Source organism: Homo sapiens, chromosome 5, assembly GCF_000001405.40.
Source record: "Homo sapiens chromosome 5, GRCh38.p14 Primary Assembly".
NCBI classification, from domain to species: Eukaryota; Metazoa; Chordata; class Mammalia; order Primates; family Hominidae; genus Homo; species Homo sapiens.
Window position 1 is genome coordinate 71,850,429 of NC_000005.10, and position 18,190 is coordinate 71,868,618.

Here is an 18,190-nt window from a genome sequence, read left to right on the forward strand (position 1 = left end):
CACATGGAAGTGGCCAAGGCTGGGGGCTTGCATCATCTGAAGTAACATCCTGAGTTGTACCATGGCCCCTTTTAGCCATTGCTGGAGTGTCTGGGATGCAGTCCTGAGGATGCACACAGCAGGGGGACCCTGGACTTGGCCCAGGAAACAGTTTTTTTCCTTCTAGGCCTCCAGGCCTGTGATGGAAGGGACTGCCATGGAGGTTTCTGACATGCCCTGGAGACATTTTCCCCCTTGTCTGAGTGAATAACATTTGGCTCCTCGTTACTTATGTAAATTTCTGCAGCCAGCTTGAATTTCTCCTCAGAAAATGAGTTTTTCTTTTCTATCACATCATGAAGCTGCAAATTTTCCAAGCTTTTATTTTCTGCTTTCCTTTTAAACATAAGTTTCAATTTCAAACCATATCTCTGTGAATACATAAAACTGAATGCTTTTAATAGCACCCAAGTCACCTCTTGAACACTTTGCTGCTTAGAAATTTCTTCCAGTGCGGTAACGTGACCGATCCCGGAGAAGCCGGCGGGAGCCCCGGGGAGAGTTCTCTTTTCTTTGTGAAGGGCAGGGCGCCCTGGAATGGGTTCGCCCCGAGAGAGGGGCCCGTGCCTTGGAAAGCGTCGCGGTTCTGGCGGCATCCGGTGAGCTCTCGCTGGCCCTTGAAAATCCGGGGGAGAGGGTGTAAATCTCAACACATTCAAAAGCTAGCAGAAGGCAAGAAATAACTAAAATCAGAGCAGAACTGAAGGAAATAGAGACACAAAAAAACCCTTCAAAAAATCAATGAATCCAGGAGCTGGTTTTTTGAAAGGATCAACAAAATTGATAGACCGCTAGCAAGACTAATAAAGAAAAAAAGAGAGAAGAATCAAATAGACACAATAAAAAATGATAAAGGGGATATCACCACCGATCCCACAGAAATACAAACTACCATCAGAGAATACTACAAACACCTCTACACAAATAAACTAGAAAATCTAGAAGAAATGGATACATTCCTCGACACATACATCCTCCCAAGACTAAACCAGGAAGAAGTTGAATCTCTGAATAGACCAATAACAGGAGCTGAAATTGGGGCAATAATCAATAGTTTACCAACCAAAAAGAGTCCAGGACCAGATGGATTCACAGCCGAATTCTACCAGAGGTACAAGGAGGAACTGGTACCATTCCTTCTGAAACTATTCCAATCAATAGAAAAAGAGGGAATCCTCCCTAACTCATTAGATGAGGCCAGCATCATCCTGATACCAAAGCCTGGCAGAGACACAACCAAAAAAGAGAATTTTAGACCAATAGCCTTGATGAACATCGATGCAAAAATCCTCAGTAAAATACTGGCAAACCGAATCCAGCAGCACATCAAAAAGCTTATCCACCATGATCAAGTGGGCTTCATCCCTGGGATGCAAGGCTGGTTCAATATACGCAGATCAATAAATGTAATCCAGCATATAAACAGAGCCAAAGACAAAAACCACATGATTATCTCAATAGATGCAGAAAAAGCCTTTGACAAAATTCAACAACCCTTCATGCTAAAAACTCTCAATAAATTAGGTATTGATGGGACATATCTCAAAATAATAAGAGCTATCTATGACAAACCCACAGCCAATATCATACTGAATGGGCAAAAACTGGAAGCATTCCCTTTGAAAACTGGCACAAGACAGGGATGCCCTCTCTCACCACTCCTATTCAACATAGTGTTGGAAGTTCTGGCCAGGGCAATCAGGCAGGAGAAGGAAATAAAGGGTATTCAATTAGGAAAAGAGGAAGTCAAATTGTCCCTGTTTGCAGACAACATGATTGTTTATCTAGAAAACCCCATCATCTCAGCCCAAAATCTCCTTAAGCTGATAAGCAACTTCAGCAAAGTCTCAGGATACAAAATCAATGTACAAAAATCACAAGCATTCTTATACACCAACAACAGACAAACAGAGAGCCAAATCATGAGTGAACCCCCATTCACAATTGCTTCAAAGAGAATAAAATACCTAGGAATCCAACTTACAAGGGATGTGAAGGACCTCTTCAAGGAGAACTACAAACCACTGCTCAAGGAAATAAAAGAGGATACAAACAAATGGAAGAACATTCCATGCTCATGGGTAGGAAGAATCAATATCGTGAAAATGGCCATACTGCCCAAGGTAATTTACAGATTCAATGCCATCCCCATCAAGCTACCAATGACTTTCTTCACAGAATTGGAAAAAACTACTTTAAAGTTCATATGGAACCAAAAAAGAGCCCGCATCGCCAAGTCAATCCTAAGCCAAAAGAACAAAGCTGGAGGCATCACACTACCTGACTTCAAACTATACTACAAGGCTACAGTAACCAAAACAGCATGGTACTGGTACCAAAACAGAGGTATAGATCAATGGAACACAACAGAGCCCTCAGAAATAACGCCGCATACCTACAACTACCTGATCTTTGACAAACCTGAGAAAAACAAGCAATGGGGAAAGGATTCCCTATTTAATCAATGGTGCTGGGAAAACTGGCTAGCCATATGTAGAAAGCTGAAACTGGATCCCTTCCTTACACCTTATACAAAAATCAATTCAAGATGGATTAAAGATTTAAACGTTAGACCTAAAACCATAAAAACCCTAGAAGAAAACCTAGGCATTACCATTCAGGACATAGGCATGGGCAGGGACTTCACGTCCAAAACACCAAAAGCAATGGCAACAAAAGCCAAAATTGACAAATGGGATCTAATTAAACTAAAGAGCTTCTGCACAGCAAAAGAAACTAGCATCAGAGTGAACAGGCAACCTACAGAATGGGAGAAAATTTTCACAACCTACTCATCTGACAAAGGGCTAATATCCAGAATCTACAATGAACTCAAACAAATTTACAAGAAAAAAACAAACAACCCCATGAAAAAGTGGGTGAAGGACATGAACAGACACTTCTCAAAAGAAGACATTTATGCAGCCAAAAAACACATGAAAAAATGCTCATCATCACTGGCCATCAGAGAAATGCAAATCAGAACCACTATGAGATATCATCTCACACCAGTTAGAATGGCAATCATTAAAAAGTCAGGAAACAACAGGTGCTGGAGAGGATGTGGAGAAATAGGAAGACTTTTACACTGTTGGTGGGACTGTAAACTAGTTCAACCATTGTGGAAGTCAATGTGGCGATTCCTCAGGGATCTAGAACTAGAAATACCATTTGACCCAGCCATCCCATTACTGGGTATATACCCAAATGACTATAAATCATGCTGCTATAAAGACACATGCACACGTATGTTTATTGCGGCATTATACACAATAGCAAAGACTTGGAACCAACCTAAATGTCCAACAATGATAGACTGGATTAAGAAAATGTGGCACATATACACCATGGAATACTATGCAGCCATAAAAAATGATGAGTTCATGTCCTTTGTAGGGACATGGATGAAATTGGAAATCATCATTCTCAGTAAACTATGGCAAGAACAAAAAATCAAACACCGCATATTCTTACTCATAGGTGGGAATTGAACAATGAGATCACATGGACACATGAAGGGGAATATCACACTCTGGGGACTGTGATGGGGTGGGGGGAGCGGGGAGGGATAGCACTGGGAGATATACCTAAGGCTAGATGATGAGTTAGTGGGTGCAGCGCACCAGCATGGCACATGTATACATATGTAACTAACCTGCACAATATGCACATGTACCCTAAAACTTAAAGTATAATAAAAAAAAAAAAGAAATTTCTTCTGCCAGATACCCTAAATCATATTTCCCAAGTTCAAAGTTTCACAGATCTCTAGGACAGAGGAAAAATGCCTCCAGTCTCTTTGCTAAAACACAGTAAGAGTCACCTTTATTCCAGTTTCCAACAAGTTCCACATCTCCATCTGAGACCACCTTGCCCTGGACTTCATTGTCCATATCACTATCAGCATTTTGGTCAAAGTCAATTGACAAGTCTTTAGGAAGTTCCAAACTTTCCCACATCTTCCTGTCTTCGGAGCCCTCCAAATCTCTAGGAAGTTCCAAACTTTCCCACATTTTCCTGTCTTCTTCTGAACCCTTCAAACTGTTCCAACCTCTGGCTGTTACCCAGTTCTAAAGTCACTTCCACATTTTTAGGTATCCTTATAGCAGCACCCTAGTCTTTGTAGTACCAATTTACTGTATTAATCTGTTCTCATGCTGCTAATAAAGACATTATGTGAGGCTGGGTAATTTACAAAGGAAAGAGGTTTAATTGACTCACAGTTCAGCATGGCTGAGGAGGCCTCAGGAAACTTACAATCATGTCAGGAAGGGAAATAAATAAATATGTCCTTCTTACATGGCGGCAGGAAAGAGAAGAATGAGAGAAGTGCAGAGCTAAGCAGGGAAAGCCCCTCACAAAACCATCAGATCTCATGAGAACTCACTCACTGACACAAAAACCAGCATAGGGGAACCACCCCCATGATTCAGTCACCTCCCATAAGGTTCCTCCCCCAACATGTGGGGATTATAATTTGGATTACAATTCAAGATGAGATTTGGGTGGGGAAACAGAGCCAGACCATATCAGTGGGTTTTTATATTTAGTGGGTCTTGCTTTTTTGTTGTTGTTGTTGTTCAGTTTGGCAATCTCTGCCTTTAATTAGGGTGTTTAGACCATGCATATTTAATGGAATTATTGGCATAGTTGGGTTTAAATCTACCATCTTACTTTTTGTTTTTTATTTGTCTCCTTTGTTCTTTGTCTTTCTTTTCTGCCTTATTTTGATTTAATTTTAAAAAATGATTTCATTCTTCCTGCTTTGTTGGCTTATTTAGTGAAAACTCTTAAATTCATGTGTGTTTTTAGTGATTGTTTTAGGGTTTATAATATACTTTTTTAAAAATCAGAGATCTATCTTCAAATGATATTATACCACTTCATGTATAAGAATTTACAATATGTTATACTTCCATTTCTCCCTTTCTGACCTTTGTGCTATTGTAATACATTTATAAACCCCACAGTGCCTTGCTTTTATTTTATCATTAAATAGTCAATTACATTTTTAAATGATTTATAAAATAAGTAAAATGTCTTATATTTATCCACAAAGTTGCCATTTCTGGTGCTGTTCATTCCATTACAGGGATCCAGATTTCCATTTTGCTGAAGAACTTTCTTTAACAATTCTTGTAGTGCAGGTCTGCTGGTGATAATTTTTTTCAGCTTTTGTATGTTCAAAAAGTCTTCAATTTACCTTTTAAAAATTCTGTTTTTAACATATGTAATGAGGTATAATTCATATACTATAAAATTCTCCCATTTAAAGTGTACAATTCAGTGATTTTTAGGATATTTACAGAGTTGTGTAACCATCACCACAATCAGCTTTAGAACATTTTTATTACGACCCCCACAAAAAAAAGCCCATACCCATTATCAGTCACTCCCTTATTCCCTGCAACCTTTCCCATCTCTAAAAAACCACTAATCTATATTCTGCCTCTATAGGTTTGTTTATTCCGGAAATTTCATGTAAATGGAATCATTCAATACATAGTGTTTTGTAACTGGCTTTCACTTAGCATTCTGTTTTAAAGATTCATCCATGTTTCAGCATGCATCAGTACTTCATTTCTTTTTATGGCATATGGCTATGTCACATTTTGTTTATCCATTATTCAGTTGATGGGCATTTGGGGTGTTTCTACTTTTTATTTATTGTGAATAATGCTGCTATAAACATTTGCGTAGAAATTTTTGAGTGAATGTATATTTTTTATTTCTCTTGGGTATATATCTAACAGTAGGATTGCTAGATCATATCATAACTCTTTTTCATCTTTATTTTGAAAGGTATTTTTGCTGGGCATACAATTCTAGGTTGACAGTCTTTTTTTTTTTTTCCTTTTAGAATTTTAAATATGTTGCTTCACTGTCTCCTTGCTTACATTTTCTTTTTCCTGACTTGAAAACTGCCATTATTCTTACCTTTTTTCCCCTGCCATTTTTTCTCTGGATGCTTCTAAAATTTTCTTCTTTTCACTGGTTTTAAGTAATTTAATTTCATGTTCCTCAATGTATCTGTCTTCATGTTTCTTGTGCTTGGAGTTTGTTGAGTTTCTTGAATTTATGGGCTTATTTTTTTCATCATAATTTGAAAAATTTTGGCTATAATATTTTCAAGGTTTTTTTCTGCCCTTCCCTCTCTCCTTTGGGGGATTCCAGTTACTCATATTTTAGGTTGATTGAGGTTTTTCCACAGCTTATGGAGTCTAATTCTACTTTTAGCCTTTTTCTATTACTTCGTCTTCAAGTTTACCAGTCTTTTCTTTTGTAATGTCTAATTTACTGTTAATCCATCTAGTGTATTTTGCACAGATTATAGTTTTCATCTCTAAAAGTCCAACTATTTCTTCTTTGTATCTTCCTGGCTAATTTTTTCTCCAGTTTCTTGAACATATTGAATATAGTTATAATTATTTTAATGTCTTTGTGTCAGTTATAGGTCAGTTTCTCCTGATTGATTTTTGTCCTCTTGTGGGGTGCATTCTTTTATTTCTTCTTGTGTCTGGTAATCTGGTAATTTTTGTTCAAATGTCAAATATTGTGTGTTAGTTTTTTTAAGATACAGTGTCTTGTTATGTCACTAGGGCTGGCATGATTAGAGCTTACTGTAGTCTTGAACTCCTGGGTTCATGTGATCCTCCTGCCTCATCCTCCCAAGTATTGAGGACTATAAGACTATTTTTTTTTTTTTTTTAAAGATGAAGTTCTCATTTTGTTGCCCAGGCTGGTTTCAAATTCCTGACTTCAAGTGATCCTCCTGTATTGGTCTCCCAGACTGTGGAGATTGCAGGTATGAGCCACCTTGCCTGGCTTTGTGTGTGTGTGTGTTTGTGTGTTTCTATAAAGATTCTTGAGCTTTGTTCTGAGCTGTGGTTATTTGGAAATAGTTTGATTATTTCAGATCTTGGTTTCAAGCTTTGTTAGGTAGTACCAGAATAATATTTAGCCAGGGTTAATTTTGCCCCACTACTGAGACAAATCCCTTTTGAGTACTCTACCTGATATTGTGTGACTTATGAGGTTGTTACAACTCTGGTTGTTGGGAACAAGAACTATTTCCAGTCCTCTTTGAGTCCTCTTTGCTTCTAGGAGTTTTTTTTCCTGTTTCAGTTATTTTCCTCACACACATACACTGATCAAGATTCAGCTAGGCTGAGCATGGTGGCTCATGCCTGTAATCCCAGCACTTTGGGAGGCTGAGGTGGATGGATCACTTGAGGTCAGGACTTCAAGACAAGCCTGGACAACATGGCGAAATCCCATCTCTACAGAAAAAAAAAAAATACAAAAATTAGCCCACTGTGGTGTCACATACCTGTAATTTCAGCTACTCTAGAGGGTGAGGTGGAAGACTTGCTTGAACCCAGGAGGTGGAGGCTGCAGTGAGCTGAGATCATGCCACTGCACTCCAGCCTGGGCAACAGAGCAAGACTCCATCTCAGAAAAAAAAAAAAAAAGAACTCAGCTAAAAATTCAAGGAGGACTCTTCATAGTTTGCTCCCTCTCTCTGTCTCCCTTCTCTTTCTTGAACTCTGTCTTCTCTAATACTCTTACCTGAAAACTCCAGCCACCTTGGCTTCCTTAGACTCCCAGCATCATCTCTTGAACCTGGAAGACCCCTCAGCTTTGCCTTATTTCCCTGCCCCTGCTCCACATCCTGGAAACTTTCTTCCTATAATAAGCTGGCGAAACCACAGGCTGATCTTATTTATTTCTCAACTCTCAAAGATTGGTGTGCTTCATTGCCTCATACCAAGTGTCTTGTTTCACATGTTGTATCTGTTTTTTCTGTTGTCCAAAGCAGTAGGGTAAAGCCAGTCACTATTACTCCATCTTCCTGGAAGTGGAAGTGTCATGCAATTTAAAGATAATATATCCCTATATACATCTAATGCATAGACAACTTGTGGCTATTTACATAAGGAACAATTAATAGTGAGTTATCTTGAAAACGGAAATGGTGACTGGGAAAGGGGCCTTTACTTTTCACTTGATAGCTTATTGGCTGTTTTCTTTCTTAATATCCATGATATGTGTTGCTGTCATTGTAATAAATAAAAGTTGTTCATGAAATGAATTTCTCTTGGAAGGATCTACTGAACCATGGAGTGCTGTTGATATTCAATTGATTCACTTTGCCCTCAGTGTCTTGGCTGATGGATAACCAGTTGCACTCATCTTTCATCCTCTTGCTTGGGTCAGAGGTGATGTAGAGTAATAACATTTGCCTTTTGATCCGATTATCTAGGAGGCATGGTGTTTCTGGAGTCTTGCTTATTATCTAAGTTTGATGAGGGTCTGCATAAGTCTGTCAGGGCAACATTTAAAATCAGTTCACTGGCTAATCCTTATATCTGTTGGTGGGATCTAAATCCATACAGCTTTCCTGGAGTCATTTTAGCAGTAGACATAAAAAACCTAAAAATGTGTTTACTCTTTGACCCCCAAATGAAATTATCTTAAAGAAATGATAAGGACAAGTGCGCAAAGATTTACAATTGTTTGTATTGCATTGCAATCAAGGATGTATTGCATTGTTTGTGACAGTAAAAAGTTGGAAGGTCAAAAATATCTAATGATGAATTGTTAAATTAAGTTTGGCACATAATGAGACTGGAATATTCTGTGATTACTAAAAACTGAAAATGACATATACTTATTGACATACTTTACTAGATAAAAAAGTCTGTTTACATAAAAGTATGTACAGTATAATTCCAATTTTAATTCCCTTTCTACCTCACAGCTACACTGCCACTTTGCAAAAAGTCTAGCTCTGATTTTGCAAAACCACAGTTAGGATCCTGAGCCTCTGAGACATGCCTACACTCCCATTTCACCCTAATGGGCTTTATGTGTTACTGACTTTTCTTCAGTGCTCTTCTGGTTTTGAGATGTGATCATTGAGAAAGGACTCTGGGGAGAAAATCCAATATGAAGGCCATAAGAGTAATGAGGTGGAATCGATTATTCCCAATTCCTTGCTCCCTTCAGGTTACAAAATTGAATATCCATGCCCTTTGCTTTGTGCCTCCGTGGTCTTTGTGAGGAGTATATTCCCTGCTCCACTGAAGCTGGACCTGGTCACATGACTTTGGTGAAAGAAAGGTTAATAGAGGTGATCTGAGAAGGTTTGTATGTGATTTCATTGTTTGCCATGACTGCTTGGGCTTCTGGCATCTGCCATGTGAACACATGATAGAAGCTTCTCAAGTGGAAGCTAGTACAGTTGTACTGAGAGACATGTGGAGCCGACCAAGTACAAACCGCAGCTTGGAGTCAAACCTAGCTGACCCACGGACCCAGGAGGGTAGAAAACAAAAGTTGATTGTGAGATTTTGAAGTTGTTAGGTGCAGTTATGCTATCAGTTATATAGCTGTCAGTTATGGAATTAAAACTAATACAGGTAACAATAATAGCACTGTCTTTTAATTGCTGAGGTCACAGCAATGTGGGTTTCAATGAGATACAAGCTATTCAATTAGATATAGGTATGTCATCAGCACCCTCACATCTCTTTGAACTCTTTTGCCCTCCTATATGTGGCATTTAGTGGAATGCTGAAAGACAAACAATGATTTAAAATGGTAAAAAAAAAAAAAAAGGTAAAATGGCCATCATCCTTTCCCCCTTTTCATGTTGTCTCAAATGTTATTCAAAGCCAAACCATTGTTTCTGTTATCTGCATACAATGTGCTGCTGGAATGTGGTGTAATTAGGTGGTCACATGTACATATCATAGCAGAGCTGAGGAGGGAAGAGGATGAAGAACAAAGGAGAGACGCAGCATGCCTACCTCTGATAAGCAGATCATGCAGGTGTCCCTGGTCATCAGCCGCATAACAAAGAGGGGCTCTCAGGGGCTGGAGGTCAACCTCTCTTCTCTCTGCCCCCTAGATTTTTTTTTGAGACAGATTCTTGCTCTGTTGCCCACGCTGGAGTACAGTGGCACAATCATAGCTCACTGCAGCCTTGAAATCCTGGGCTCAAGCAATCCTCCCACCTCATCCTCCTGAGTAGCTGGAACTATAGGTACCTGCCACTATGCCAGGCTAATTTTTTAAATTTTTATTTCTTTAGAGATGGGGTCTCACTATGTCGCCCAGGCTGGTCTCAAACTCCTGGCCTCAAGCAATCTGCCCACCTCTGCTTCCCAAAGCAGAGGATTACAGACGTGAGACACTTTGCCCTGCCCTGTCCTCTACCTTTATTTCCCAAAGCATACTGAAAAAATATTCTGTTATCCTCTGGGCTAGTCTGTTCCCTAGAGCATAAGGTAATGAGGTAAGGAGAAGAGCCTTGTGTCTCTGCCCACGCAGCCTTGATAACTCTTTGATCCAGATATGGAAGGAATGTGTGAATAAGTGTCTGTGTGTGTGTGTGTGTGTATGTGAAAGTGTGTATTGCAGAGGACACACATTTCTTTTCTCTTATGAACAATGTGCTATTGATCTGCATTATTTTCTTATTGCCTTTGTAGGCGTTGGCCCATTTCTTGGGTAAATCACTGGGGAGGCTTGAAAGCACAGAGGTGGAGACTTAAGACAATGCACTCTGTAGCCATGCTCTCTGGATTTGAATCCCAGATTTGCCTCTTAGTAACCCTATGACCTTGGTAAGTCACTTAACTTCCCTTGCCTCAGTGTCCTACACTGTGAGATGGGGATAATAATCGAATCCACTCCATAGTTTTGTTGTGAGGAGTAAATGAATGAATTCATGTAAAGCGCTTGGCACATGATCATGGCTCATGTTCACTCTTCTATTGTTGCTTTTCACAGGGCAGTGACTCAAATACTAAACATCTCTTTCTGAAGAATTATTGTTACATATCATAAGGTGTGGAAGAAAGAGAGAGAAAGAAATTAATACCACCACAGCTTGTGTTTCAGCAGAGTAATAGTATTCAACAGATGGGACTGGAGAAATCAAAAATGATCAAATCAGGGGGACATGCTTTCCCAAATGCTAGGACAGATTTTGCCCTGAGTCTCATGAGTAAGGTCACATTACAGTAGACAACTGGGCTTCTGGGATCAGTGGGGCTGGGCAGCAGCAGCTCTGTGGGGTTGGGGAGGGCTTGATTGATCTTGAGGTTATACTAAGGCCGAGAGGTTTCCTTCCTGGAGTTGGGGCTGGCTGGCAGGACCCACTTTGGTCTCCTGATATCTTCTCTTGCTCATAGTTCTGCTTCTAGCCTGGTGCTTGTGTTTCTAAGGTTGGTAACTATTTTCCTTTTGCAAGCTGACTTGTATGAGAAGGATCATCCTTCAGACTGGGTTTTATCTTAAGTGGTATTCCCAAAGAGGCTGGAATTGGTGCTGAGATAAGGTTTGGGCTTGGAGTAGTAATGCAGGAGGCTCATGCATGTGTATGCACACATGTACATGTGTGTGTACGCACATGTGTGTGCATGTGTGTGCATGAGTGTGCATGTGTGTGTACATGCACAATGTGTATATGGAGCTATGGGATGGTTGGATGGACAAATGGATGAAATGGTATTTATCCAGACAGAGAAGCATCCAGGGAAATGAACCTCCTTTAGCTCCCCAATCCTTATTACATTGCTCTTTCCTGTATGTGAAGTTCATGAATATCCACTGAAATTTCTGGAAACACAGGCCTAGATCATGGATTATTATTCCCAATCTTTGTGTTGTAACCTTTAAAATGGAGTACAGGTCCCTGCTCAGTGCTTAGGCTGTTTGGAGAATGAGATCAGTTTTTATAATTATTTTACCAGATGGGAAGAACTCCTGGACTTTCTCAGAGCCTAGAGGCTCTTGATGACCATAACATGTCTTTCCCCGTGGTGGATTATCTGGCATCACCCCTGTTCTGCTTCCCCAGCTGTCTGCTTCCCTGGAGCCTGGGCTGGCAAGAGGCAATTACTAGAAAAGGGTCAGAGGTGTGGGGTGAGTGTGAGTGAAGTTGAATGACTCTGTGTAGGCAGGGAGAACTTTCAAGAGCTAGAGGGAGATGACTTTTGGATGGACTCTTAAATTTTGTTTTCTTTTCTCTTCCTGTTTATGAGGAATAAAAATTAATGGTATAATCTCATTATGTAAAGTTGAGAGCTGGAGAGGGCAGGGTTAATTTTCAGTTTTGACCTTGGAACTTCAAAAGGAGGGAAGAGAGGAGGGAAGAGAGAGAGACAGAGAGAGAGAGAGAGAGAGAGAGAGAGAGAAACAGAAACAGACCATCTTCTTTATACATCCTGGGTTCAGAACCCTTGGGCGCAACCTGTGTTCTGCTTGTTTGGCTGTATGGGATGGAGAGTTAAGAATGGAGCTCAGCCCTGAGTCCTGTGCCAGTTGAGCTTCACAGGTGACTCTTGGCAGCCAGTCTGAGTCATTTGCATTTTCACAGCCAAAGGGCTGCTCACAAGATGTTCTGTGCAGATATTTAAGTTGCTGGATTCCAAAGCATCCCCAGGGCACTCCTGGCCCCTCCTCTTCCATATGGCCATGCAGCCAACTTCACATTTCTTAATTTATGAAGATGGCATTCTTGGGGATTAGATGCTTTTTGGAGTTATAGTAATAACAACATCAAGGCCAGTTCTTTGCCTTCTTTCCTTCCTCCCTCCCTTGCTTCCCTATCTCTCCCTGTTCCTTTCCTCCTTCCATCCTTCCTTCTTTTCTTCCCTCCCTCCCTCGTTTACACCCTCCCTTCCTCCTTTCTTCCTTCCTCTTCCTTCCCTCCCTCTTTCCCCCCTCCCTCCCTCTCTCCTTTCCTCCTTCCCTCCTTCCCTCTGTTGTTTCTTCCTTCTGTCAAGCTTTTGAAATATTTCAGTTTCTGGAAGCAAGACAGAGCTCAGTGGCCAGGAAGAGCACAGCCCCTGGGCCAGTCTTGCTGTTCCACTACCAGATGCAGAAGGAGGTGTTCTGGAATGACAAACTTTTCATGTTAAAGTAATGCAATTGTCAGGAACATCTGTATGTTAGTTTTCTATTGTGGCTATCATAAATCACCACAAATTTCATGGCTTAAAACAACACACATTTATTGTGTCACAGTTGTGTAGGTCAGAAGCTGGGGTATAGCATGGCTCAACTGAGTCCTCTGCCTAGCGTCTCCCTGGTGTTGGCAGGGCTGAGTTTCTTCCTGGAAGCTCTGGGAATGACTCTGTTTCCAGGCTCATTCAGGTGGTTGGCTGAGTTCAGTTCCTTGTGGTTGTAGGACTGAGGTCCCTATTTCCTTGGTGGCTGTTGGCTGGGGACTGGTCATTCTCTGGAAGCTCATGCTTTCCACGTGGCCTCCTCCAGCAATGGGGAGTCAAGTCTCTCTCACACTTTGACTCTCTCAGGCTTTTCCTTTTTGACACATCTCTCCAACTTCCAGCCAGAGAAACTTCACTGCTTCTAGGAGCTCATGGTTAGATTGGCCCAACATGGATAATCCAGGATCATCTCCCTGTTTTAAGGTCACTGGTTAACAACCTTAATTCCACCTTCAAAGTCCCTTTTGTAATTAATGTGACATATTTATAGGTTCCAATAATTAGGATGTGGTATTTTTGGGAGGAGTATTATTTGGCCTAACACACCCTATAAATAATTTATTGATAGTGTTGGCCACCTGAGGGTAACTAACTGCTGCAACCTTTGTCAGGGGATCTGCCTAGCATTTCCACTAGATTTTGGGCAGGGCCAAAGAGAGAAAGTGAAGGAACCTGAAGCTAGAGGCAGGGGTTGAACGTAAGACACTTTCATCCTCCAAAGGGAAGCACAGGCCTCTTCTGATCTCCGAACTTTTAATCTGGACTAGGTTTGTGGAGATGAGAATCCATCTCCTCATTCAGGATGGAGCCATGGAGGCCTGGAGGGGTGATGGACTTAGCCAAGGTCAGAGGCCACACCAGAGCTGGAGATTACTGGGGAAGTTTCAGAGCTGAAAGAAGCCACTGTAAAGCCTGATCAGGATTTTTCAGAACATGGACACATCTCTCAGATCTTTGGTCTTTTTAGCACTTAACCTCTGTATTAGTTTGTTCTTACATTGCTAATAAAGACATATCTGAGACTGGGTAATTAGGAAAGAGGTTTAATTGACTCACAATTCCACATGGCTGGGAAGCCTCACAATCGTGGTGGAAGGCAAATGAGGAGCAAAGTCATGTCTTACATGCGGCAGGCAAGAGAGAGTGTGCAGGGGAACTCCACTTTATAAAGCCATCAGATCCCATGAGACTTATTCACTATCATGAGAACAGCACGGGAAAGACCTGCCCCCATGATTCAATTACTTCTCACTGGGTCCCTCCCACGACATGTGGAAATTATGGGAGCTACAATTCAAGATGAGATTTGGGTGGGGACACAGCCAAACCATATCAACCTCCAAAGCCAGGTGGATCAGCCAGACTGCACAGCTTTGAAAAAATAAATGACTATGGATTTCTTGGCTTTAGAAAATACAAATCAATTAACATTATGGGTTGGGACATATATGAATATGATGATGGTCTTTCTGCAGCCTGAGGAAAGTTGGTCTTGATGGCCAGCAAGACACACTCCTAATACTTACAATTCTTACAATTTCTTCTTAGGAGTTCTGGGTGTCCTGGTGGCCAGATCTTTTAGTCCCTCCTTGGCATAGCCACGACCCTCCATGTTGATGGATAGACATGGAGCCCACTGTATCAACTGTTTTGACACCTCTGGGAGAGGACACTTGGAGAGGAATCCCTCCCTTGTACTCACTCCTCTCTGAGAGAAGGCAGGGCTCCTACAGGCCAGCGGCTCTATTTTAAATCTGCAGGCAGCAAGCACGTTCTATAGGAGATCGGCTCCTTGTTCAGGGGTTTCATTCTCTTGCCAACTCTGCTCATTCTGGTCTCCTCTTTGTCATCGCCTAGAGGCATCCATCTCCTGGAGGTTTACATAAGACAGAGCAAAGTGCTCTCCTGGCTAAGAATATATCCACCCCCTTCCCTGGGCGATGTGCCTGGGAGGTGAGGAAACTGACTCACTGCATCTCTGACTCTATGAAAAGACAAATACATGAAAAAAAAACTACTAGATTAATGACAGGGGGAGAAAAACCCGAATATTTTTAGCACATGAGGGCAGAGTTAGCTGCTATGAAGTCCTAGAGGATGGAAATTTTAATTTAAGAGCTCTTTGTCTTGAATGTTTTAATTAGCAGTAGGGAGCTTTCAAATGGCAATTATGGCACAGAGAGGGTGGGGGACTCTGAAATAGGAAAATGCCCAGTGATAATCTGATCAGCAGCAGTGCAGACTGGTTAGGGGATCTGTCTGTGAAATCCAGGCATGACTGGTTTTCTTACAAACCAAAAACTTTGTGTGATTCCCAGGGTGTGCCTCTGCCAATGCATGTGAAATCCTGGGTCAATAGTCCTGCACCACTTCTGCCTGAGTAGAAAGAAGCACTGAAACTTGGGCTGCAATTGAACTGTGGATATGTGGTAGCCCATGAGAGCACCTGAGTCTTCCATGAGGATCTGAGGCTCCTGTTGCCATCTTGCCCCTGGAAGGAAGCATGTCTATTCCCTGGAGTTCATCGCAATGTTCCCTGATAGGCATGGTGACTACGGATTTGGAGATTTCTGTAGGTGGAGCTGCTGCTGCTGTTGCTTTTAGAAAGATCCCAGTCATTGCCCAAGGTGTTTTCCTGCCTGGTAACTAGAGACACAGGTCTAGGGAGGTGTTCATGAATGGCCAGTGTCGCACACTGATGGGGTGGTATGTGCCAGTCAAGGGCTGTAATTTGGGCAATCTGTTTCTAGGGAAAAATATTGCTGGTTGCATATCCAATAGCCATTCTTCCTCTCTTCCTTGCTGATAGAATCAACCTTTTGCTATAGCTGTTTAAGGTTTATTTTCAGGTAATATACATAATAGGATCCCTGGGATCATTGATTTTTGAGCCAGTATTGCCAAAGTGTGTCTCAGCTCCATCATTTTAAAACTAAGTGACCTTTGGCAAGTTATTTACCTTCTCAGTGCCTCAGTTTCCTTGTCTGTAAAATGAATATAACAAAACTGCTTCTCTAACTGGTAGCTTTGAAATGTAAACAAGTTGATGCATGTAAAATGCTTATGTAGTATCTGGAGCATATAAAGTGTTCAATAAATATTAGCGATTCTTCTTCTTCTTCTTTTTTTTTTTTTTTTTGAGACAGAGTCTCACTCTGTTGCCCAGGCTGGAGTGCAGTGGCATGATCTCAGTTCACTGCAACCTCTGCCTCCTGCATTCAAGCGATTCTCCTGCCTCAGCCTCCCAAGAAGCTGGGATTACAGGCACGTGCTGATTTTTGTATTTTTAGTAGAGATAGGGCTTTGCCATGTTGGCCAGGCTGGTCTTAAACTCCTGACCTCAGGTGATCCACCCACCTCAGCCTCCCAAAGTGCTAGGATTACAGGCATGAACCACTGTGCCCAGCCTAGTGATTATTCTTATTGCTACTACACCCCAGTCTGTGTTGCAGCTTGGGTATGAATAGATTACACATTACTGGCCAATTGGACCTGAGAGGAAGACTACTGGGAAACTTCTGGGCCATGCACAAGAGGACATGGACAGTACTCATTTTGGCTGCTGACAGTCAGGTCTCTACGCGATGCTTGAAATTGCAGAAGAAATTGCAGCCCTGGGATAGTTTGACTTTGGATATTTTGTTAATTGTGATAATATATTATCCTCATTGTTCAAGCCTCCTACCACTTACAGTCAAAGCCATCCTAACTGATGTACCTAGTAACGGCAGAGGCCTTGCTAGAGTTACAGTGCATTTAAGCCATGTGTGGCAGTAAATGTATTTGATGGCATTGTTAGGATGGTTCTTTGCTTTAAAATATTTTTAGATGTTTTGGAATTGTAGTACATTTACATAGTAAAGCATTAAAAGAATGAAAAATCTTACAGTGAAAAATCTCCTTTTCACATTGGACATTCATGTGGCCATTCCCCCAGGCCCCAGTAGCCAGTTAACCACTGCTTTTAGTCTTTTACTTACCCTTTCAGAAATTTGGAAAATAAATATGAATTTCCAAATTCAGAAATTTGGAAAATAAATAAAGCTGGTCATGGGGGCTCATGGCTGTAATCCCAGCACCTAGGGAGGCCGAGGCGAGCAGATTGCTTGAGCCCAGGAGTTTGAGACCAGCCTGGGCAACATGGGGAAACCTCACCTCTACAAAAAATACAGGAATTAGCTAGATGTGGTGGTGTGCACCTGTAGTCCCAGCCACTTGGAAGGCTGAGGTGGGAGGATCACTTGAGCCTGGGAGGTCGAGGCTGCAGTGAGCCGTGATTGCACCACTGAACTCCAGCCTGGGTGACAGTGTGACCTTGTCATATATATATGCTTATAATACAAAATATATTTTCCCTCTTTTGTAATGTAAATGTTAGCATGCTCTACACATCATTCTGTACCTTGCTTTTTTCACTTAACATACCTTAGAAGCTTTCCATATCAATATGTAAAGTGCTTTCTTATTTCTTTTTACTGTTACAAAGTACTCCACTGAATTTATTTAACCAGTCCTTTACTGACAAGTATCCAGGTTCCTCCTAATCTTTCGCTGTTGACTGCAATGCTGCAATCAATAAATGGTATACATGTCGTTTTGTAGATATGCAAATATATCTGTAAGGTAAATTCCCCCAAAGTGTAGTTGCTGAATCCAAGAGCACATGCATTTGTAATTTTGATAGCTCTTGCTAAGTGCAACCCTCTGTATGGGCTGTATAAATTTATACTCCCACCAGCAAGGTATGAGAGTGCCTATTTCTCACAGACTTGGCAACAGAAGATGCTATCAAATTTTGGATTTTTGCGAATTTTATGGTGAAATATGGCATCTCAGGTAGTTTCAATTTTCATGCTTCTTGTTATGGGTAAAACAGACCATTAAAAATATGTTTAAGAATAATTTGCATATTCTTTGAATTGTCTGTTTATAACATTTGTCCATTTTTCTAGTGGGTTATTGGTTTATTTCTTATCCATTTTTAGAACTTTCTATATATTAGGGAGATTATTCTATGATCAGTTATAATTATGTTTCCCAGTTTGTCTTTATTATTATTATGGTGAAGTTTACTTTTGTCATGCAAAGGTTTAAACAAATTTTTTATATAGTTGAACTTATCTTTTTTA

The 18,190-nt window shown here is 41.0% G+C and overlaps 1 annotated feature.

Annotated features, from left to right (window-relative positions):
- Positions 434-728: a silencer, noted in NCBI's record as "tiled region #1479; HepG2 Repressive DNase unmatched - State 11:FaireW". NCBI's record gives its function as "represses a minimal TATA promoter and a strong SV40 promoter by Sharpr-MPRA in HepG2 cells {active_cell/tissue: HepG2}" and the evidence as "EXISTENCE:reporter gene assay evidence [ECO:0000049][PMID:27701403]".